The following is a 22660-nucleotide window of genomic DNA, read 5'->3' as shown; positions in this document are numbered from 1 at the left end:
GGGAGGAGGACGGGGCGGTGGGGAGGGGGGCAGGGGGCGGGGGCAGGGGGCGCGGCAGGGGCGGGGGGCTGGGGGGAGGACGGGGCGGTGGGCGGGGGGCTGGGAGGAGGACGGGGCGGGGGTGCTGGGAGGCGGGCGGGGCGGGGGGCGGAGGCGGGGGGGGCTGGGAGGAGGGCGGGGCGGGGGGGGGCTGGGAGGAGGGCGGGGCGGGGGGGGGCTGGGAGGAGGGCGGGGCGGGGGGGGGGGCGCTGGGAGGAGGGCGGGGCGGGGCAGGGGGCGGAGGCGGGAGGGCAGGGCCGACGGACGGCGGGCGGCGGCGGCGGTGGCGGCGCTGGAGTCGGCGCGGGTGCTGGCGCCATGGAGGCCGAGCGGGGTCCCGAGCGCCGGCCTGCGGAGCGTAGCAGCCCGGGCCAGACGCCGGAGGAGGGCGCGCAGGCCTTGGCCGAGTTCGCGGCGCTGCACGGCCCGGCGCTGCGCGCTTCGGGGGTCCCCGAACGTTACTGGGGCCGCCTCCTGCACAAGCTGGAGCACGAGGTGCGGGGAAGGGCGGCGGGCACGTGCGGCGGCCGGGGTGGGAGCGCGGCGGGAGCCCGCGGCGCGGGACAGGGAAGAGCGCTCCCGGGCGGCGGGAGCCGCGGTGAGCCACCCAGAGCGCGTCCTGGGCAGCTCTGGAGCGGCGTGGAGTTGGGGGCCGAAGAGTGACAGCAGGAGACCGGGGTACCTGCGGCCCTGATCTGCCCGGGCCCGAGACCGGCTGAGGGCTGCGTTGGGAACTTTAGGTCCTCCACACACCCGAGCCTGACACAGCCCTGCGAGGAGTGAAACTCATCACCCCCACTTCACAGATGAGAACACTGCGGCTCCGAGAGTCCCTTCAGAGGGATTCTTTCAGCCGCTGCCTCACAGGGACAACGGGAACCCCGTGAATTTGTGTAGCTGTAACTGTTGGGTTCACAGAATTCGGTGTTTTTTCATTTGATTTGAGCCTCGGGGTCCCCTCATCTTGCAGGTTAAAGAAAACAGGCTGTGAGAGGTGGAGGAGAAATCTAAAGAAAAATGGAAAAGATTGAGAAGCCTCTAGGTTCTCTCCCTTTTTGTGAGGACGGCCCATCCGGCTCACCTGCCTCCTCCACTCCAAAGCGTTCCCCACTGTCCTGGCTGGGGATGAGCCCTGGATTTTTATTGCGTGCCCAGAGGCTGAGGCCACAGCACCTTCCCGGGCTGGCGGGGGGGGGGGTGTTTTCTTTAGCTGGGACCCGACATCTCCTCCAGGTGCTGTCTCCCGGACGGAGATGAGCCTAGTGGCGCAGGTGATGAAGTGGAAACCCCAGAGCCAAGAACAGGGACCCGGGCCGGGAACTAGGAGTCCCTGAGCCTGGCTGCTGGCCAGACTCTACGGTCTCTGAGCCAGTTTTTCTCTGTGTAATCCTGATTGGACTAGGAACCTTCCTGCTGGAAACGTGCAGTGAGTGGCACCTCCTTATGCTACAGTGTAACAGAGAGTTTCCTCTGCCCCTCACTTCTGCCATATGCTTTCCGAGGACCACTCTGGTCCCAGGCCTGTGCTGGGTGGAAGGGACCTTGGTTTGTTCATGAGGACAAAAAGGTTCCCATGGGCTGCGTGGAAGGAGCACAGTGGGAATGACCAGCTCCTGCCCAGCCAGCCTCCACGGCAGCACGCCCTCCCTCGGGCGGTCACTCGCCCGTCTGAGACCTGTTCTCCATCTGGGAAGGGGATGGTGAGACACCATCTGGCTCCCACAGTATTGGAAGGATGGGAGGTGGCATGAGAAATATGCCTGGCACACAGAGGGTGGTCGCCACCGTGCCACGTCCCCTGCCCAGGCCGCCTTGCCTGCTGTTGCCCTACTAAGGGGCAGCCAGTGTTTTTCCGTGACCCTTCCCCAGCCGTTAAGGACAGAGCTGAATCACTGCTTTACCATTCACAAACTTGCAGCTCTTCCTGAGTGAAGCCTCCTGCTGCTACTGGCCCAGGTGTGGAGGAGGCCGCCAGCAGCAGCAGCACCTGCCAGCGCTGTGGGCCCTTACACCCCTGGCCATCAGCCCTCCTGCCTCACCTTAGGCCGGCTGCCCTGGAAAGGATGGGGAAACTTGAAGATACATACATATATATATATATATATATATATATATATATATATATATATATATATATATAATTTTTTTCTTTTTTTAATTGAGACGGAGTCTTGCTCTGTCACACAGGCTGGAGTGCAGTGGCATGATCTCGGCTCACTGCAAGCTCTGCCTCCCGGGTTCAAATGATTCTCCTGCCTCAGCCTCCCGAGTAGCTGGGATTACAGACGTGCGCCACCACACCCAGCTAATTTTTGTATTTTTAGTAGAGATGGGGCTTCACCATGTTGGTCAGGCTGATCTCGAATTCCTGACCTCGTGATCCGCCCGCTTTGGCCTCCCGAAGTGTTGGGATTACAGACGTGAGCCGCCACGGCCGGCCGAAGAGATGTTTTTAAAATGTCTACTCTTCTGTCTGCACAAGCTTCCCAGTTGCAAAACCACTCCCCTTATCTCCTGGGGAGCTCTTCCAGTCCTGCCATGAAGGGGTTGTGGTGAAGGAGAAACCCAGCACCCCATTTCACAGCTGGGTTGAATCCAGGCCAGGCTTGAGACAGGCTCTCTGACCCTCAGCCTCACGCTGTCCCCTAGGGATTTGGAGTACTGGGGCGGAAGCCCGAGGTCTGGATTCCAGCCCTCTGAGCCTCCCCCCAGCCCTAAACTGGAGAAGGCAGTAGCCTCCCCAGACCCACCTTGAGGGCTAAAGGAGAACTGGATGGCTCTTGTCTCAGGTGCCTTGTCTCTCATGTGACCCCTGGTTTGCTCCACCCTGGGCTATCTGCCTCCAGGCCTTCGCTCTTACTCTTCCCTCTGCGTGGAGTTCCTTTCCATCCTCACCCCGTAGCCTCATGTTTAAATCTTCCCCTTCTTCAAAGCTGGCCTCTGGTTATGGTTCCTCATCCATAAAGTCTTCCCAGGCCCTCCAGGCCCCAGAGCAATTTACCTGATACTCTTAGGTGGCCTAGACCTTACTCAGCCTGAGCTTCCTGAGCGAGACCTTGAGTGATTCATCCTCACGCCACCAAAGGGCAAGTCCTGCCCAGTGCACAAAAGCTGCCTGCACCTGAGTACTTAGCTAGTTTCCAACTGCCGTTTTTAATCGAGTAGTGGGAAATACGTTTTAGGGAGGAACTGGCCTTTGTTGAGCCTCCACTGTGCGCCAGGACTTTATGCACGCTGTTTGATTTCATTCCATCAGTGTCCTGAAAGGTGGATGACACCCCCTCTCACAAGTGAAGAAACAGTCTCAGAAGTGTAACAATGGCGCCACGTGTTTATAGAGCATTTGCTGTGGCCAGGCTCCACTCTGAGTTCTGGGTATGAATCACCTAATCCTCCCAGTAGCCCTCAGAGGGAGGTTCTGTTATTCCCATTGTGTGGATGAGGAAACACGCATGGGATAGTTAAGTAACTTGTTCAAGGTCACTTGTCTAGGAAGTGGTGAAACCAAGATTTGAACCCACACAGCCTGGCTCCAGAATCTGCCCAGAAGCCCCCCTTGCCGGCTTGTGGCAGACAGGGCGTGAGTGTGGCTGTGCCAGGGACCCCTCTGCTCCACACACACCAGAAGAGGTCACTTGCCTGCTTGACTAGCCGCACAAGGCAGGACCAAGGCCCTTATCTCCCCATCCCACCTTGACCTGGGGCCTCGCTTCCTGTTGGCCTGGATTGGGTGGGGCTGGGCTGGAGGAGGCTTCTCTGTGAGTTGACTCAGCTGTCCTAGTGTTGAGGGGTTCTTCTGGTGAGGGGGGCATTGGGGTGTGCCCCCAGCCACCAAGATCCTGACTCTTCCATTGACCTCCAGTGTAATTGGAGCCACCCTCTCTGCCTTTGGGGCCTCTCTTTCTGTGTAATGTGAGTGGGGTGGACTACAGATACCTCCAGCAAGTCCTCAAGGTCCCATCTCCATGCACAGCATCCTGTGGGACGAGGCTCTGGATGACAGCTCAGGTGACGGTGGGGTACATTAGGTCCCTGTTCCGAGCCTGAAATCTCCAGGAGCTTCAGTCTCCCCGCCCGTAAGACTGTGTGGTTGCATTAAACAGGTCCCACACCTCTGAAGGAGACAAGTTTGTCCTTGAGGCCTGGGTGTGGCACCTCGGGTGGCTTTCTGGAGTGGTGAAGGCATTGGGGTGGGGTCTCCTGCCCACACCCCTGCTGACGGGAACTCTGGCCCCCAGGTTTTCGACGCTGGGGAAGTGTTTGGGATCATGCAAGTGGAGGAGGTAGAAGAGGAGGAGGACGAGGCAGCCCGGGAGGTGCGGAAGCAGCAGCCCAACCCGGGGAACGAGCTGTGCTACAAGGTCATCGTGACCAGGGAGAGCGGGCTCCAGGCAGCCCACCCCAACAGGTAGGAGCCTGGCCAGAGACACCACCACAACCTTCACTTGGTGAAAGGTGGGAGATGCAGTAATGCAGATTCTCCTGGGCCCTGCACCGCCGCTGGACATCTTCCTTAGGACAGCTTTGTGGCAAGCACGTGTGGCCAGCGGTGTGTCCATCAGGGCTTCAGAGTACTGTCCGTGGCAACACAGCGTTCCTGGGGTGACCGGATGGACCGCGGCCTGAGAGCCTCTCCCAGCGGTCTCATTGTCACAGTGGTCCTGCTACAGGGGATTAGAAGTTCCAGTTTTGCTCGAGGTCACCCTCCAGGTTAAGGGTGCAGGTCAGCCTTACTCCTCCCCAGTCACAGCCCCTCTCTGGTCCTGCTAAATTGGAATCTGGGGTGGGCCCTGGAACACCTGAGGACCTGAGACCCAGAGCAGGCCTGGCCTTGCCAAGGACCACGGTGTAGTTAGGGCAGAGCTGAGACTGTACCCCAGGCTTCCTGCCCCCAGGGACCAAGAGTGGCTATCCCTAGGTCAGGCCTGCAGGCCCATCTGCCAAAGGTTTTGTGGACCCTCAGAGAAACTTGCTGGGCCCCTGTGTCCACGCACAGCTCTTTGGGCAGGGGTCTGGTCTCTTCTGCAGAGCTTCTCCCGCCTCCTCCTCCAGCTGGGAGTGGGCAGTAGCAAGCCACCCCGGAAATACGGACAGCCCAGCACCCCCGCCCATGCGTGCTTGGGCTCACCGTCCCCTTCAGGTTCAGTGAAGTGAGTTCTCCTGTGCGGCTCAGGCCCAGGAACAGGTGAATTCAGTGCAGTGGCTGCCCTGGGAGCTCCCAGCTCATGTTCTCTCTCGGGCCTACAACCACATACCCCGCTGCCAGCCTTGTTTTGGGTGGTGGGGAGGCTAGGGATCCAGAGTCTTGGATTTGGAGCCTGAGTGTTTGTTTCAGCCCCACCTGCTTCCGGGCCTTTCTGCTTCCGGGCCTTTCTGCTTCCGGGCCTTCATCCCCCTGAGTCTCCCCTGATTGCCAGGCCCTAACAAGCTCTCCATCCTCATCCCCATAGCTATCTTTGTACAACACCCCTTGTTGCACTTGCCCAGGGTCACCCCGAAGGCCTGGCTCTGCCCTGCATCACGTGGTCACCCACTCTAACACAAGTGCAAGAGTAAACCCACTTATTTTAGGACAGGCCAACAAAACTCATATAAGCACAATAAGATAAATACTCCTGAACTTGCCCCCCAGCCTAAGAACTGGAACACTGGCTGTCCCTTTCATTTTAAAAGGGGAACAGAGACGGGGGCAAGCTGGGGGCGGCTTTGTCTATTAGGCACCTGTGTGTTTGGTGCCTCCTGATCCGGCAGAGCTCTGGGAGGATTATGGTCAGCCCTGTGTCCTACAGGGTAGGGACAGTTGATCCTGTGCCACAGCCCCAGCATGCTTCTGTAGCAGCTCAGCTGCAGGGGTCCTGTGTGTGGGGACTGGAAGCCTCTCCCACACAAAGGCCTTGGTGCTTCCAGAAGACCTGGCTGCGTGGGTGAGGCCTGTGTGGTAGCCCTTGTGCCGTCTGTGTGCGTTGGCCTCTGGCGTGTAGGGCCTTTGCTTTTGTTGAGCAGCTGTGGTGTGCCAGGCCTGCAGGCCACAAGATGGGCAGCATGGGCCTGCCCTGCAGTGGCCCGAGGTCCAGTTGAGGACTTCACGCTAGTGACTGCTGGTGTGTTTATTACAAGTGCTTGGTGGACAGTAGGTGTACCACATATCTGGTCTCATTTGCTGCTTGTGACAGCCAGGTGACAGGCGGTAGAGACCCCTGCTGCCCTGTTTGAGAAGCTTGAAGAGGAGGAGGTGCTTGCTCAGGATCACACAGGGAGTGAGCAGCAGCGCCAGCACCTGACCCAGGCCCACTGGAGTCCAAAACTAGGCATAACTATGGCACCCAGTAGACCAAATCTAAGGAAGCTTGGGCCCTGGTCCCAACACAGCCCTGGGCCTCTTGCTCCCCCGACTTCCCTTTGCCCCATGCCCACCCGGCAGCCTCACATTGTGGCCTGTGCCCGCAGCATCTTCCTCATCGACCACGCCTGGACGTGCCGTGTGGAGCACGCGCGCCAGCAGCTGCAGCAGGTGCCCGGGCTGCTGCACCGCATGGCCAACCTGATGGGCATTGAGTTCCACGGTGAGCTGCCCAGTACAGAGGCTGTGGCCCTGGTGCTGGAGGAGATGTGGAAGTTCAACCAGACCTACCAGCTGGCCCATGGGGTGAGTGGGTAGCTGGGCCCCGGGGAGGGGGAGGACAGGCATGGGCACAGACCTCCGCTGCCCTGTGCCATCAGGCCGGGTGAGGGGCCGGCCAGAGCAAGCAACTCACTTTCTCCTGTGGCTTCCTAAGGAGAGTGCTATCCTGGGGACTCGGACCCAGCTGGCCTCTGAGCTCACAGGACGCAGCCCTCTCAGACTCCTAAACTGAAGGGGCCCAGATGACTCAGCCGCCTCTTTCCTGGCCCCCCTGATTCTGTCACTCTCTTAAAAGCCCTCAACCATTCCTCACCCACCCCTGCTGGCCTCTCCGGGGACTCACCCCATGCTCCAGCCCCTCACCACTCTTAGTTTGGGAAAAGACACCTGCTTGTTTCTCATGATTTTAGCTTAGATGTCATCTCCTCCAGGGACCCTTCCCTGAGCTCAAAGACGACTCCCCCGACCCCCCCATTACCCTCAAACCCATATACACCCCTACGGGTGCTGGGCTGAGTGCCTTGTTACCAAACGCCCTTTTACCACGAGTGTTCACGCTGTGTTACCCAGGCCTGTGTCCTGGTCTGCAAAGGCAGGGCTGCTGTCCCGGAGCCCCTAGCTTAGCTAAAGGGCCTGGGGTACATGTGAGAGGGCCTCCAAGATCAGAGAAATGGCTGTGGGCTGGTGGTCGATGTCTGGGTTCCGGAAGGGAGTTCCGGTGGGTGGATGGGTGAGCGAGAGGTGCCATATGTGCTCTGTCTGCAGACAGCTGAGGAGAAGATGCCGGTGTGGTATATCATGGACGAGTTCGGTTCGCGGATCCAGCACGCGGACGTGCCCAGCTTCGCCACGGCACCCTTCTTCTACATGCCGCAGCAGGTGGCCTACACGCTGCTGTGGCCCCTGAGGGACCTGGACACTGGCGGTAAGTCCAGCACCTGCCCGCCCTGGAGGAGGGGCCTCAGCCCAGTGTCCCGTCACCCCCTCTGATGGGCACTCATGTCTTGGCACAGAGGAGGTGACCCGAGACTTTGCCTACGGAGAGACGGACCCCCTGATCCGGAAGTGCATGCTGCTGCCCTGGGCCCCCACCGACATGCTGGACCTCAGCTCTTGCACACCCGAGCCGCCCGCCGAGCACTACCAGGTGCAGCCCTCCTCCACCCACCAGGCCTGTCTGCTTGGTAGCTTCCAGAATGTTCTCTGTGCACACACCAAATGTTATCAAACCCCAGCCGGGTGCCAGGCCCTGAGCCAGTTACCGTGGGAGGCATAGAGTTTTGGGAGCCTCTGAGAGACGAGGGGCTCAGAGAGTGAACACAAGCTGCCTGTGGCTGCACGGTGGGGGCTCCAGATCCCAGGGTGCCTGGTGCTGGCATCCGTCCTCAGGGGGTCCACGCTGCTCCCTTGGGAAGGAGGGGGCTGTGCAGTTGGTCTTGGCCATGAGCCCCACTCAGCCCCCTGTCCTCATCTCACCGAGGCATGGAAACACCCTGTGTTCACACATCGCGTGCCTCCCTCCCTCTGCAGGCCTGCGAGTTACCATCATGGTCACTGTTATTGATAACAAAGGTGCTTTCAGTCTTGGTCAGGGCCCCGAGGGACCCAGCTGGCCCACTCGGTAGTGCCTGGCTGGAGGTAAGAGCTCATCCAGGCCCCATACAAGGAGGCTGGCGGGTTAGGGAGTCGGAGTTGTCGAGGCCCCAGTGCCGGGGGAGGAAGAGGAGCCTGTGGGAGCGTAGCCACCTCCAGAACCAGTCAGGGCTGGGTAGGAGGTTCCTACCCTGACCCATCTCTCCTCCTTCCCCTCCTCTCCCATCTGCTGCTGCTTCCGTAGGCTGGAACCAGCCTACAAGGGAGCCTGTGCTTAGTACTTTGTGGGCGTGTGCCACTCAGTTCCTTACAATTTTACAGTTCTGTTTTTATCTTCATTTTACTGAGGATGAGGACATTGAGACACAGAGAGGTTAAGTCATTTGCCAGGGGTCACACAGCAGGGGGAAGAGCTGGAGTCCAGCTGAGGCTGCAGGCTTGCCCCCACGGCGACTGAAGTCATCCTTTTTGCACACCAGGCGCTCACTAAGTGCCTCGGAGGGTTTCGGGAAGGGTTAGACGAGTTGACCCATGTGAGAGTGGGCGCGTGGAGGCTGGGCGTGGGGGCTCATGCCTGTAATCCCAGCACTTTGGGAGGCTGAGGCGGGCGGATCACAAGATCAGGAGATCGAGACCATCCTGGCCAACACGGTGAAACCCCGTCTCTACTAAAAATATAAAAAATTAGCTGGGCGTGGTGGCGGGCACCTGTAGTCCCAGCTACTCGGGAGGCTGAGGCAGGAGAATGGTGTGAACCCAGGAGGCGGAGCTTGCAGTGAGCCGAGATCGCGCCACTGCACTCCAGCCTGAGAAACAGAGCGAGACTCCGTCTCAAAAAAAAAAAAAAAATAGAGCGGGCGTGTGTGGAGTGGTGGCGTGTTTGTGTGGGCGCTGCTGATTGCAGGGGTGGGCTGTGGGTGGGGGGGCCTCCTTTCACTTTCGGTCTAAGTCAGTGGTGATTGAACCAACCATGCCAAAAACAAGGGGCTCAGTCTTGTTGGTTCAAAGGGTGCTTACAAGCCTCCCAGAGCCCCTGCACCAGGAAGGTGCTTAGTACACGTTTGTCTGAAAAAGTGAATGCCTTCGTGGATGCAACTGGAGGGACAAACACTTCCTGGTCTCGGGTTTGTTTGTTAATGGAACATGAACTAAAGTTTGTGTTTTTCCTTGGGAAGCTCTGGGCTGACCAGGAAGAGGAGGAGATACAAGGCCACGCATCCTTGTTTTTTCCCATTTGACCCTTTACAATCAGGTCTGTGCTCTGGGCCCAGGGTTGCCTATGTTGATTAGCTATGGCTGGGTAACAAGTAACTCCAAAACTTAGCACCTTAAAACAGTAAACATTTATTATCTCACACGATTTCTGTGGGACAGGAGTTCAGGAGTGGCTCAACGGGGTGCCTCTGGCCTCAAGTCTCCCTTGAGGTACACAGGCCGCCCGTCGGGCTGTGGACCCGCTTCTGCATGGCATATGTGCATGCCTGCTGTGTTGGTGCTGACTGTTGGCAGCAGGCCTGGGCTCCCTGCCTTGTGGGCCTCTCCATAAGAGTGCTCAGGTGTCCTCAGGATGTGGCACCTGATTTCTCCCAGAGCAAGTGATCCGAGGGAGAGAGCAGAGAGGAAGCCTCAGGCTTCATGGCCTTGTTGCAGAAGCAACCCTGTCCCTTCCACCTTTTTCCTGCTCATTAGAAGCAACTCATTAGGCCCATCCCACCCTCAGAGATGGATGCGGCTCTGCCTTTGGAAGATAGTGTCAAAGAGTTTGTAGGCATGTTTTAATCTTTTTTTTTTTTTAATTTTTTAAAAAAGATAGGGTCTTGCTTTTGTCCAGGCTAGAGTACAGTGGCATGATCCTAGCTAACTGCCATTTCCAATTCCTGGGCTCAGGCAATCCTCCTGCCTCAGCCTCCCGAGTAGCTGGGATTCCAGGCAACTGCTACCAAGCCCCGCTAATTATTCAACTTTTCTGTAGAGACGGGGTCTCACTATGTTGCCCAGGCTGGTCCTACACACCTGGGCTCAGGTACTCCTCCACCTCAGCTTCCCAAAGTGCAGGGATTACTGGCTTGAGCCACCATGTGCAGCCACGTGGGCATGTTTTAAATCATCACACTGCAGAAGCTCCCGACAGCCCTCGTGGCTCCTAGGACAAAGCGGCTCCTCTCAGGAGGGGTTTGGCACCTTCTCGCCCCCTGCGATTTTGAGGTAGCACCGAGAAGATGTGCAACAATGTTTACCTTGTTCTTTTGACACCAAACTAGGACTGTTCGGCATCCGAGGGGCCTGGAGCCCCAGAATCCTGGGGTGAGGGGGGTGGTTAGAGGCTTTGGGGTGTTGGGAGGGAGGAGCAGCCATGCGCCCCTTGAGGCCATAGAACCTGATGCCAGGTGGTGAGGCTTGTGTCCCCTCCTTCTTTTCCTTTTTTTTTTTTTTTTTTTTTTTTGAGATGTAGTCTCACACTCTCTCCCAGGCTGGAGTGCAGTGGCGCAATCTCGGCTCACTACAACCTCCGCCTCCCGGGTTCAAGCGATTCTCCTGCCTCAGCCTCCCGAGTAGCTGGAATTACAGGCACGCGCCACCATGCCTGGCTAATTTTTATATTCTTAGTAGAGTGGGGATTTTGCCATGTTGGCCAGGCTGGTCTCGAGCTCCTGACATCACGTGATCCACCTGCCTCACCCTCTCAAAGTGCTGGGATTATGGACATGAGCCACCACGGCCGGCCTTTCCCTCCCTTCCTTGACCTCATCTCTACTTCCGGTGTGTTTCCTTTTAGGCCATTCTGGAGGAAAACAAGGAGAAGCTGCCACTTGACATCAACCCCGTGGTGCACCCCCACGGCCACATCTTCAAGTGCGTAGCCCCCCCCCACTGCTTGGGCTGGGACTTGTCCGCAGTCCCCGCCTCCCATGCTTCGTGGTTCCCACAGCCCCAGAACAGTGCTTGGCACGTGGCACGCAGCAAGTCAGCCGCATCCTGTCTGGGCACAGCAGTGACACGTGCAGGGAGTGGAGTTCTTGGGACCCCAGAGAAAATGCCGCAGAAAGTGAGAGAGCGAGCAGGGCTTTCTGGAGATTTTTTTTTTTTTGAGACAGAGTCTGTCTCTGTCACCCAGGCTGGAGTGCAGTGGCACGATCTAAGCTCACTGCAACCTCCACCTCCCAGGTTTCACACCTCACCTATGAGGCCAGGCATAGTGGTTCATGCCTGTAATCCCAGCACTTTGGGAGGCCAAACCAGGCAGATCGCCTGAGATCGGGAGTTCAACACCAGCCTGGCCAGCATGGTGAAAGCCCGTCTCTACTAAAAATACAAAAAAAAAAAAAAAAAAAATTAGTAGGGCATGGTGGCTGGCGCCTGTAATCACAGCTACTCGGGAGGCCAAGGAGGAAGAAGAATCACTTGAAACCTGGGAGGCAGAGCCTGCAGTGAACTGAGATCGGGCCACTGCACTCCAGCCTGGGCTACAGAGCAAGACTCCTTAAAAAAAAATAAAATAAATTCATCTTTGAAAGTTAAAAATAGGAATAGGCCATGGAAATGCTGGCAGTGAGTGGGTAAAGGGCCCCCTGGGCAGAAGCGTTGGCCACCACTGGTCCCCATCCCACCCCTGTCCTCTGGGCACCAAGGGGTCCTGTTACCAACCTTGCATGTCATGGGGCTGCTCCGCTTACCTGGATACGATGCTCATCCAGTCCTGGAAACCGACACTAGCCAGGCCTGTGCATGCCAGCCCTCCCCACAGCAGGGAGCCTTTGCTGGCCAGGAACATGCTGGGCACCCACAACAGGCACCCGGGCTGCCAGTAGGGGCCCCTCCCAGGAGGCTGCAGGTGTGGCTGTTGAGTTAAGGAAAGCCAGGCCGGCAGGTCCAGGCGGGACACCTTGCAGAAGCAGGCACAGGTGAGGACCCAGAGATGCAGAGCAGATTCCACCTCAGCCTTCACAGGAGCCCCTCCCTGAGGCTCCCAGACACTCCCCTTGGCTGCCCAAACCTGGTCTAGCCAAGAACAGGCAGGCTGCTCCACTCTGCCCCCTCCACCGGGCCTGAGGGCTTTCCTCCCTGCTGGCCTCTGCCCCAGCTGGGCAGCCCAGGGGCTCTTGCTGAGACGTGAGTCTTGTGGTGACCTGGCCAGGGCCTAAGGTCCCTCCACCTCCTCTGGGGCAGAGGCCTCACGGAGGCCCTTGGTGTGCCTGTCTGAGATTGGTGGCCCCAGCCTCATCCTCTTGTTTTGCATGTGAGAGGAAAGAACTAGCACATAATAAACACCCAAATTATGCCATTTAATTTTAATGACAAATGTGAGGTGGACGGTGTGGTCCAGTCCTGCGGATGGGGAACCAGGGGTCACAAGGGTACAGGTTGCGCCCCTCCCTCAGCAGATTGGAGGGAGCGGGGTCTGAACCCGGGCTGTCCAGCATCATGACTCGAACCCAGGACTTGCCTCTGCCTCATTAGCTTCAAAACAGGGAAGGGAGTCCCTGAGCCAGGGCTAGTGCTGGAGTCCCGCTTGGACACTTGGGAGCCGGGATCACCCAGCTCGGGCTCTCCCCACAGGGTCTACACGGACGTGCAGCAGGTGGCCAGCAGCCTCACCCACCCGCGCTTCACCCTCACCCAGAGTGAGGCGGACGCCGACATCCTCTTCAACTTCTCACACTTCAAGGACTACAGGTGAGGGCACCTCTGGCCGCAGGGGCCCTCCCAGTCAGGGCTTCTAGGCACTGCCGGCCTCCCCTTGAGCTGGCGCACCTGCCTCCGCCCTGCAGGAAACTCAGCCAGGAGAGGCCAGGCGTGCTGCTGAACCAGTTCCCCTGCGAGAACCTGCTGACTGTCAAGGACTGCCTGGCCTCCATCGCGCGCCGGGCAGGTGGCCCCGAGGGCCCACCCTGGCTGCCCCGAACCTTCAACCTGCGCACTGAGCTGCCCCAGTTTGTCAGCTACTTCCAGCAGCGGGAAAGGTGGTAAGTCCCAGACACGGCATCGGTGTGCTCCATGGCCCTTTTCCCCGGCCCAGCGTCTGTGTCCGCCTGCTCCTCCATGAGCACCCACTGTGGAAACCGTGGTGCAGGAGCCGAGCTGTGGGCCCCGAACGTCACGGCCGTCTTCACGGACCGCAGGACCTCTCCAGGTTTTTGCTGGGGCTGTCCTCTCCACCGCAGCGCAGCTGCCTGGCCTCTGGCAAACCCCTCCTTGTTTCCCATGCCCCTGCCTCTGACAGCTCTCTGGTGCCCCCTCAGCTCCCAAGGAGAAGTGGGCTGCCCTCTTCTGCCTCTGGGTCCTGGGGTGGCACCATCTGGGAACACAGGCCCCAGGCGCCCCCCAGACAGCCCTTCTGCTCCCCAGGGGCGAGGACAACCACTGGATCTGCAAGCCCTGGAACCTGGCGCGCAGCCTGGACACCCACGTCACCAAGAGCCTGCACAGCATCATCCGGCACCGAGAGAGCACCCCCAAGGTGGGCCCCGCAGACCAGGAGCCCCAGGGCTCAGGGCCCTGGCTGGACAGTGAGAGGTGGGGCTAAGGGGACCGAGCATCATGGTCCTTATGGACAGGTCCAGGCTGGGCAGGGTGGCTTACACCTGTAATCTCAGCACTCTGGGAAGTGGAGGAGGATCACTTGAGCCCAGAAGTTTGGAACCAACCTGAGCAACATAGGGAGACCTCGTTTCTACAAGGGAAAAAACTTTAAAAATTATCTGGGCATGTTGGCACACACCTGTAGTCCCAGCTTCTCAGGAGGCTAAGGCAGGAGGATCACTTGAGCCCGGGAGGTTGAGGCTGCAGTGAGCTGTGATCGCGTCACTGCACTCCGCCCTGGGCGACAGAGCAAGACCCAGTCTTTAAAAAAAGAACTGTCCTGGGTGCGTCTAATCGCAAAGTTCCTACCACATAGTGTGCCAGGTATGGCTGCCCAGCAGGGTGAGGTGGCTGAGCCTGGACAAGGAGCCTCTCAGAGCCGTGGTAAAGATTCATAGTGAGGGGACATCCAGAAGCAGTATTGGGATTGCAGGACACAGGATCTGCCTGGACTGTGTACATAGTCAGAGGCTGGCGGGAAATGCATCATGAGGACGATTGTCGTGGAGACTTCAGGCCATGGGATGGGGGTGGATGGAATTATGGGTGAGAATTTATATTTCATTTCAATTAAAAATGGATATAAAGACTTTGCTTCAGGGTGCGGTGGCTCACACCTGTAATCCCAGCACTTTGGGAGGCCAAGGTGGGCGGATCACCTGAGGTCAAGAGTTCGAAACCAGCCTGGCCAACATGGAGAAACCCCTTCTCTACTAAAAATACAGAAATTAGCTGGGGGTGGTGGCGGGCACCTGTAATCCCAGCTACTCAGGAGGCTGAGGCAGGAGAATCGCTTGAACCCGGGAGGCAGAGGTTGCAGTGAGCCAACATTGTGCCACCGCACTCCAGCTTGGGCAACAGAACAAAACTCTGTCTCAAAAAAAAAAAAAAGACTTTGCAGCAACTTAGGCAGGTTTGAAAAGGCAGAAGGAGGAGTAAAGTGCAGCCATGTCTGTGCCCCCTGCGTGGCTTTGTGTGCTCGGGAGCCCCAGGGGGCTCTGTCCTGGCCACCAGCGAGCTTGCACCTGTGTCCTCCAGGTTGTGTCCAAGTACATCGAAAGTCCCGTGTTGTTCCTTCGAGAAGACGTGGGAAAGGTCAAGTTCGACATCCGCTACATCGTGCTGCTGCGGTCAGTGAGGCCCCTACGGTTGTTCGTGTATGATGTGTTCTGGCTGCGGTTCTCCAACCGGTAAGTGGAGGGCCGGCTGGGTCCAGGGTCGGGGAGCTGGGTGACCGGGTGGAGGTAGCGGGTGGGTGATGGGCCCTTTTTGGAATCAGAAAATGTTGTTGGAAGGCACCCTCCATCACTCACCCAGCTAGCGGCCCTTGGAGCCCATCTCCCTTGGTGTTAATTGGCGGTGACTTGCCCTGCCCACCTCAGAGTTCTGGTGTTGCCCACAGTAATGGATGTGAACATTCTTTGTAAAATGGGCACCAACATGAGAACCAGGTGCCATTTTTATGGACCTGCAGAGGCTTCACAGCTAGCACCTCACTCACCTCCACCCCAGCTCAGTGGGGCTGTGGGGCTCCCCCAGCCACACAGACAAGGGAACAGGCTCCCGCCTGAGCAGCAGGTGGTCCTGCCCTGAGCCCTGAACCCCTAGTTGGGAAGGCTGAGTGGGTGGCACCTCCCTCGCAGGGACAAGGCCGCTCAAGAACCCATATGTGTCTGCACACTTGTCTTCCAGGGCCTTTGCACTCAACGACCTGGATGACTACGAGAAGCACTTCACGGTCATGAACTATGACCCGGATGTGGTGCTGAAGCAGGTAGGGCCTGAGGGAGGTGCAGAGCAGGTTCACACAGAGGCCAGGGCACACCCGACCCCACCCCGCCCACACTGCCTCCTAGGAGGACTGGCACACAGGCCAGTCCCAGGAGCCGCCTCCTGAGTTCCTGCTATGGAAGGCGATTGTTAGCGCTGCCATCATGAGCCAGGCTGGGTTCTGTGTTGTCTCAGGTAGGTCTCCCCACGGCACAGAGGGCCACTGGCTGTGTTTGAGATAATGTGGACACAGAGGGGGATGGGTCCAGCAGCAGGTTGAGACAGTGTGTTCCCAGCCGGGGCTTACTCCTCACCACCACTTCAACCGGAAAAGCAGACCACCCTGTGAGTGCCAGGGCAGGCGGGGGCGGGGAGGCCCCACCTGGTCCGGCTGGCTGCTGGCCCGTGACCCTGCCCGGGTCTAGGACCTCCTGTCCTCCCTGGTGCACAGTGTTGAGCGGTGCCCCATGCAGTGGGCACTCAGTGAATGGCAGCTGCACCATCTGAGCACCTGGAGCTCAGGGGCATCTGGACAAAGGCCCTTCCAAGGTGGGGGCGAGAAACCAGAGCTGGCCAGCCAGTGTACGTGGACAGGTAGGCACAGCCTGCACAGAAGCAGGAGGCCAGCTCTGGGTACAGGAAGGAAGAAAGGAAGTCCTGGAAGGCCTCTGTGGCCTGGCTGGTTAATGAGTGTTTCAGATGCACAGAACACCTACCCCACCCTGCCTGTCGCCAGCCTTGCAGGTGCCGCGGACTCCCCATGCAGCCAGCCCCAACGCTCCCCGACCCCTGAACGTGTGGCTGTCATTCCCAGGCATGTCTTTGGTTCTTTTCAGCAGGAGTATGTTCCTGACCATTCAAGCTGCTGTTTTGCTTACTTAGGTTTTTTGTTTTGTTTTGTTTTTTTGAGAGACAATGTCTCACGCTGTCACCCAGGCTGGAGTGCGGAGGCATGATCTGGGCTCACTGCAACCTCAATCTCCTGGGCCCAAGCCATCCTTCTGCCTCAGCCCCCTAAAGTAGCTGGGACTACGGGCACGTGCCTCCACGCCCGGCTAATTTTTTTGTATTTTTAGTAGAGACGGGGTTTCGCCATGTTGCCCAGGCTTGTCTGAAACTCCTGGACTCAAGCGCTCCGCCTGCCTCAGCCTCCTAAAGTGCTGGGATTACAGGCGTGAGCCACCATGCCCGGCCTCCTACTTAGGTTTTTATGTAAATATCATCTTATTCAACGGATCCTTCTGCAGCTTGCTTTGTTGGCTGAGTGGCGTGTTTTGAGGTTTTGAGGTTCGGGCTTGTTGCTAACTGTGGCGGCGATTGGTCATCTGAGGTCTTCACTAATGATAAATCATGGCGCGTGAACATGCGTGGAGGCACCTGGCCATGCCCATGTCCGAGGAGTCCTCTAGGAGGACTTGGAGAAAGGGCCCTGCCATGCACTGGTGACTATACCAGCACACACTCCCCACAGGGGCCGAGTGGTCCTGTTGCTTCTGTCTGTCTTATCCTTGCCTGTGTTGAAGCCTACTCCCTAGGACCCAGACCCCCCAGCAGGGCCCCAGGACATTGTTGGAAGTCGCCCTCAGGTTCTGAGCCCCTCCCTTCTGTACTGTGGGGGTCATCCCGGGAGTCCTCTCCTGGAGCTCTGTGCCTGGGGAGGTACGTCCAGCATGGCATGGATGGCGGGCTTCCATAGGGGCCTTTCCTGGCTTGTTCTTTTCTGGGAGAAACCTGAGCCGACTGCCACCTTCCTCGGGTGTGTTTTGGGTAAAGTCTTGAGGCCAGAAAGATCTTGCATCCCTCAAGCACTCTTGAGCTGGTGCTGAACCAGGGCACAGGCAGGTCCCGCGGCGGAGTCTTGAGCTCTGCCTCCTTCGCACTGTACTGAGCTGAGTGTGAGGATGGTGCCAGCCCAGGCCCTGCAGTTTCTGGAGCCCTCGATGTTCATTGTCTCGCGTGAGCCTCACAGCTGCGTGGCAAAGTCAGTTTACTGGGCAGAGCACATTTTCCCATTTCACAGAGGAGGAAACAGGCTCAGAGAAGTTAATCCGTTGGTCCAGAGTCACACAGTAAGACCTGGAGCCCAGACTCCATCTCCTGCCTCCTGTTTGGACCCTGAGGGTTCGGGGTTGGCTGCCTGCTCCTGGAACCCCCACCCAGTGTCAGAAGCTCCTGGTCCAGGCAGTAGCAGGCTGCCTGCTCCCGGCCCAGCGGAGGCCTGTACAGAGCGTGATGGGCCCTGTGTCTGTTGCAGGTGCACTGTGAAGAGTTCATCCCCGAGTTTGAGAAGCAATACCCAGAATTTCCCTGGACGGACGTCCAGGTAATTCCTGTCCTGCACACCATCGCAGGCCGGTGGGGCGGGTCCCGGGCTGGGGGCCTGCAGGAGCTGCTCCCTTCCCTCTCTGCTGGCATGGGCTGGGAGGGACCTTTGTCCCCTGCAGTTGGTCATTCTCCCCAGAGGCTGGCAAGACAGCGTGGGCTCCCCTCCCTTCCACCCTGGGCATTTGTGGGTGCTCCTGAGAGGGAGGGAGCTGGAGGGGCATGTGGGGCACCCCTGGGACAGCCAGAGGGTGGCGGCACTGCCTGACCCTAGATTCCCAGTCATATGGAGACGTTGGCTGGGCCTCCATGTCCAGCAGCGGCATTCTGGGTGCTGTGTTGAGCTCCTTGGGGCAGTGGGGAGCAACGGGGTCTGCGGCAGGAGATGGGCAGATTTGCAGAAGGTGGGCGTCAGGAGTAAGAGGGCAGGTGCTGGGCGGAGGTGGCCATGGTGAGGTCTAGAGACGTGAAGATGTGGGAGGGGGTGACTTGGGCCACGTGGGGCCCGGGACTTGGGCAGGGGCAGCAGACCCCCTCTTGAGAGGCTGTTCTGAGCAGGCCTCGTAACTCAGGCTCCCCGGTCCCCAGGCTGAGATCTTCCGGGCCTTCACGGAGCTGTTCCAGGTGGCCTGTGCCAAGCCACCACCCCTGGGCCTCTGCGACTACCCCTCATCCCGGGCCATGTATGCCGTCGACCTCATGCTGAAGTGGGACAACGGCCCAGATGGTAAGAGGGGCTCCCCATCTCCTGATCCAAACCAGCAGGCGCCCCCTCCGCCAGCCAGCCACAGCCTGGAGAAGGCAGGCAGCTGCCCCAGGCTGTCCTCTGGCTTGAATCAGCCAGGAATCTGGGTTGGGGAAAGCCCTGGCTTGGCCCACAGGAAGTGCCTGCGGTGCAGAGTCTGGAGGGGAAAGGCTGCGGGTTGGGCCTCTGAGTCGGGGGAGAGCTCACAGGACAGGAGACCCGTGTGAAAGGCACCCTGACCCCAACCCACACCACCCTGGCTGGCCTTCCCTGTGCCAGACCCCCACACAGTACACTGCTGCTGCATATCTACTTTTTTTTTTTTTTACTAAACTGAACATCCAAGCTTAAAGGGCCAGGCTGTCATCCCTAGGGCTGGAGGCAGCCCTGGCCTCTCCTAGAGAAGCAGATGTCAGGCCAGGCCTCCCCAGCAAAGTCAAGAGACCCAAGTTCTAGGCCCGGCCTTGTCCTGCTCATCCCCTGGGAATCAGGGCCCAGGTTCATGGCCTCCCAGCCTTTGCTGGATCCCCAGGCCACTGTCCCTGCAGAGTGGAGGCCAACGAGCCTTCACACTCTGCTGCGCTCTTTGCCATCAGGAAGGCGGGTGATGCAGCCGCAGATCCTGGAGGTGAACTTCAACCCCGACTGTGAGCGAGCCTGCAGGTACCACCCCACCTTCTTCAACGACGTCTTCAGCACCTTGTTTCTGGACCAGCCCGGTGGCTGCCACGTTACCTGCCTTGTCTAGGCACTCGCTGTCCCCAAAACCTGTGCTTGGGGCAGGATTCCAACCTCAGTTCTCTGAGCTGCTTCTGCAAAGGCCCCCATGTCCCTCCCCACACCGGCCCTGGGCATAGCCTCAGCCCCAGGCCTCTGTCCTGCCGAGCCATCCTCCCGGCGCCACACTCCGGGAGCACAGCATCCTCCTCTCACCTGTGGGTCAGAGCAGGACAGTGATGGTGTCCCCAGGGCTGAGCACCACCCCACGCCCTGCCCTCACCCCTCACCACCATCTGTGCACTGATGAGTCTCCAGTTTAGCCAAGGGCTTTGTTCCTGGCATGGAGAATTTGTTCCTGGCTGCTGTGTTTCCAGGGGGTGCTGGGGGAAGGGTTCCGTGGAGCGAGACAAGGTGTCCTCGGGAGCAGGGTTCCACCGGGAAGCGTTTGGGAGCCCTGTATCACACGGGGCAGGCGGGTTTCTCTTCCGGGGTCTCTGCTCTTATGCATCAGGACGACCCCGGGACGGCTGTGGGGCCCCACACTGCACCCACAGGGCTCTATGCGACAGGGGCCCAGGAACAGCCTGAGGCCACCACCCAGCAAGCCCGCCTTATCACCCATTCCAGCTCACCCAGAACCTTCACCAGCAAACCTCCTGCTGAGGTCCTGGCAGGAGGCCACCGTCTTGTTACCGTTTCCTTTTCGTTTGCTGAGGGTCACAGACCCCAACAGGGAAATCAGTATCTGTCTTCCCAGTGGTTGCCCTGCTCGCCGGGCACTCCACGGGGTCCCGCCCTTGTGTGAGATGGGCCAGGATCCTTCGGCAAGGGGCGCCTGGGGCTGGGGCTGATTGTGGGCGGTGGAGCGCCAGACAGAAAAGGATTCCAATGAGAACTTCAGGTTAAAGTCAGATGCCACCTACCAGGGTCTACAGTCAAAATGTTGGCTTTTTCTTATTTTTTAATGTATGGGAGAAAAATGTAAAATTCCAGTTCTTTTCTAATTGTGTTTCTGAAATTAGGAGTCAGCTGCCAGCGTTTTTGTGTGGCTGCAGTGTGCCTGGGCCCAGCTCACGGGCAGTGGGTGGACCTAACTGCCCAGGCAGGCGAGAGCTACTTCCAGAGCCTTCCAGTGCATGGGAGGGCAGGGCTAGGTGTAGCGGTGTCTCCTCTTTGAAATTAAGAACTATCTTTCTTGTAGCAAAGCTGCACCTGATGATGCTGCCTCTCCTCTCTGTGTTGTCTGGGCCCTTGTTTACAAGCACGCGTTACCCTTCCTGAGGGGAGCCATGCTCTAGCCCCTGGAGGGCCTGTTGCAGGGGCAGGGCGGGCCCGTCGCCTTTGGCAGCTCCTGGAGAGCTGTGGACATGCAGTCCCCCTCAGTTCGTGCTGCAATAAAGGCCATCTTCTCTTATTTCTGCCCTCCTTTCTCTTTGGACCCTGGAGCCACAGGCTCAGCCTGGCCTGTCGCCCCGGCTGTCACTGAAAAGCCCCGGATACCAAGAAGTCACCCACAAAAAGTGGGAGAAGAAATAAGATGGCCTTTATATCGCAGGCCTCCACCCCACAGTCTGATTTCCATGTGCTGGATCTGTTTCCAAGCCGGCCGGGAGCCTCGGTCCTCGAGTGGCCCCACAGCTCTAGTGGCCCTGGAGATAGCAGCCTCCCCACACTTGCCTCCTTGTCCTGGGGTGGGGACGGTGAGAAACCCTGGCTGCTGGGGCGTCTGCAGGGCTCCTCGGGCCACTGCTGAGCAGGTGCATGGACACCGTCAGTGGGTGGAAGCAGCGCCACATGGTGACCAAGGAGGTTAAGACTCAGAAGGCAGGCCAGGCATGGTGGCTCACGCCTATAATCCCAGCATTTTGGGAGGCCGAGGCAGGACAGAGAACAGGTCACACAAAGTCAAGAGATCGAGACAGTCAGACAGCATGATAAAACCCTGTCTCTACTAAAAATACAAAAAAAAACAAACATTAGCCGGGTATGGTGGTGCGCGCCTGTAGTCCCAGCTACTCAGGAGGCTGAGACAGGAGAAACGCTTGAACCCAGGAGGCGGGGGTTGCAGTGAGCCAAGATCACACCACTGCACTCCAGCCTGACGACAGAGTGAGACTCCGTCTCAAAAAAAAAAAAAAAAAAAAAGCGGAAGGCAGAGCGGCCCTGAGGCAGGCTGCCTGTGGACTGTGCTGCTTCTCTCCTTAGCCTCCCTTCCAGGGCAGGTCTCAGGACTGATGCTCACACGGACTCTGTCCAGAAGCTTAACAGCTGGTGCTCTCACTAGTTCCCAGCTCACTTAAAACCTGGTGCCCAGGAGATAGTCCTGCCCAGGGAGCAGCTGGGACAGCCCCCAGAATCAAGACCACATGGTCCAGGCTTTCCATGATTGTAGATGGCTATTCTCTGTCCCCACATGTCCTTGCACCTCTGCTCACTGCAAATGGACACCCCCAAGGAAGGCCAAGAGCCAGGGACTTCATGAGCCGGAAGACCAGCCGGCTCCAGGTGCTGAGGCAGTTGCCGGGAGATGTTTATCCCACTAAATACTTCTTCCTGGTACTCATTTGCACCCTCATCACTGTGTTAAGAAGCCATCCAAAGCCGGAATTGACCAGGCACAGTGGCTCACGCCTGTAATCCCAGCACTGTGGGAGGCTGAGGCGAGCGGATCACTTGAGGTCAGGAGTTGGAGACCAGGCTGCCCAATGTGTTGAAATCCCATCCTACTAAAAATACAAAAATTAGCCAGGCATGGTGGTACACACCTGTAATCCCAGCTACTCTGGAAGCTGAGGCAGGAGAATCACTTGAACCTGGGAGGCAGAGGTTGCAGTGAGCCAAGATGGCGTCACTGCACTCCAGCCTGGGCGATAGAGCAAGACTGTCTCAAAAAAAAATAATAAATAAACCCACTCAGAAAGCATCAAAACCTTAAGTTCCCAGTGGATGACAGCAGCTTAGAAAAGGAGAGAATGCTGTCTGTTACGAGCATTTCCTGGGGAAACGTCGCCAGGCTGTTAAAAGGAAGCCGGCAGACGAAATGCTAAATGCGTTCTCCTCTCGCCCATTTTTCCAAGGCGTTTTGTGGCAGTGCGTGTTTTGTGGCCAGCAGGAGCTATGTGGGACATTTGTTACAGATGAACAACCCCACGAGTTGCGGAGATGGCAGAAGTCTGGGTTGCACTTTCTCCAATCCCTAAGTGTCTGGCACGGACTCAGGTGTCCCTTGACACTTCAAAGGATACCCCTGTGCCCTGCGGGGACGGTGC

The 22660-nt window shown here is 58.3% G+C and overlaps 1 protein-coding gene across 1 annotated transcript, besides 8 other annotated features; it reads left to right on the top strand.

Moving 5' to 3' along the window:
* Positions 248-407: a silencer, noted in NCBI's record as "silent region_13858". NCBI's record gives its function as "represses an Ori minimal core promoter by ATAC-STARR-seq in GM12878 lymphoblastoid cells {active_cell/tissue: GM12878}" and the evidence as "EXISTENCE:reporter gene assay evidence [ECO:0000049][PMID:35858748]".
* On the top strand, positions 293-20805 carry TTLL12 (tubulin tyrosine ligase like 12). The gene is made up of 14 exons (NM_015140.4): positions 293-534; positions 4278-4447; positions 6487-6685; positions 7427-7586; positions 7675-7808; positions 11031-11107; positions 12812-12928; positions 13024-13218; positions 13601-13712; positions 14873-15024; positions 15527-15608; positions 17859-17927; positions 18515-18653; positions 19268-20805. The coding sequence occupies exons 1-14, from the start codon at positions 358-360 to the stop codon at positions 19417-19419; spliced, it is 1935 nt and encodes a 644-aa protein (NP_055955.1). The 5' UTR covers positions 293-357; the 3' UTR covers positions 19420-20805.
* Positions 448-667: a silencer, noted in NCBI's record as "silent region_13857". NCBI's record gives its function as "represses an Ori minimal core promoter by ATAC-STARR-seq in GM12878 lymphoblastoid cells {active_cell/tissue: GM12878}" and the evidence as "EXISTENCE:reporter gene assay evidence [ECO:0000049][PMID:35858748]".
* Positions 1048-1107: an enhancer, noted in NCBI's record as "active region_19188". NCBI's record gives its function as "activates an Ori minimal core promoter by ATAC-STARR-seq in GM12878 lymphoblastoid cells {active_cell/tissue: GM12878}" and the evidence as "EXISTENCE:reporter gene assay evidence [ECO:0000049][PMID:35858748]".
* Positions 1118-1197: an enhancer, noted in NCBI's record as "active region_19187". NCBI's record gives its function as "activates an Ori minimal core promoter by ATAC-STARR-seq in GM12878 lymphoblastoid cells {active_cell/tissue: GM12878}" and the evidence as "EXISTENCE:reporter gene assay evidence [ECO:0000049][PMID:35858748]".
* Positions 1118-1642: a biological region, named in NCBI's record as "H3K27ac-H3K4me1 hESC enhancer GRCh37_chr22:43581791-43582295".
* Positions 1138-1642: an enhancer, noted in NCBI's record as "H3K27ac-H3K4me1 hESC enhancer chr22:43581791-43582295 (GRCh37/hg19 assembly coordinates)". NCBI's record gives its function as "activates a minimal SCP1, AML or CMV promoter by ChIP-STARR-seq in primed H9 embryonic stem cells {active_cell/tissue: H9 hESC(primed)}" and the evidence as "EXISTENCE:reporter gene assay evidence [ECO:0000049][PMID:30033119]".
* Positions 17507-18362: an enhancer, noted in NCBI's record as "H3K4me1 hESC enhancer chr22:43565071-43565926 (GRCh37/hg19 assembly coordinates)". NCBI's record gives its function as "activates a minimal SCP1, AML or CMV promoter by ChIP-STARR-seq in primed H9 embryonic stem cells {active_cell/tissue: H9 hESC(primed)}" and the evidence as "EXISTENCE:reporter gene assay evidence [ECO:0000049][PMID:30033119]".
* Positions 18363-19219: an enhancer, noted in NCBI's record as "H3K4me1 hESC enhancer chr22:43564214-43565070 (GRCh37/hg19 assembly coordinates)". NCBI's record gives its function as "activates a minimal SCP1, AML or CMV promoter by ChIP-STARR-seq in primed H9 embryonic stem cells {active_cell/tissue: H9 hESC(primed)}" and the evidence as "EXISTENCE:reporter gene assay evidence [ECO:0000049][PMID:30033119]".
* Positions 20806-22660: the final 1855 nt, after the last annotated feature.

The sequence above is a fragment of the Homo sapiens genome, chromosome 22 (assembly GCF_000001405.40).
Source record: "Homo sapiens chromosome 22, GRCh38.p14 Primary Assembly".
NCBI lineage: Eukaryota > Metazoa > Chordata > Mammalia > Primates > Hominidae > Homo > Homo sapiens.
Note: the sequence above shows the minus strand (reverse complement) of the source record. Positions and strands in the feature narration are given on the sequence as shown.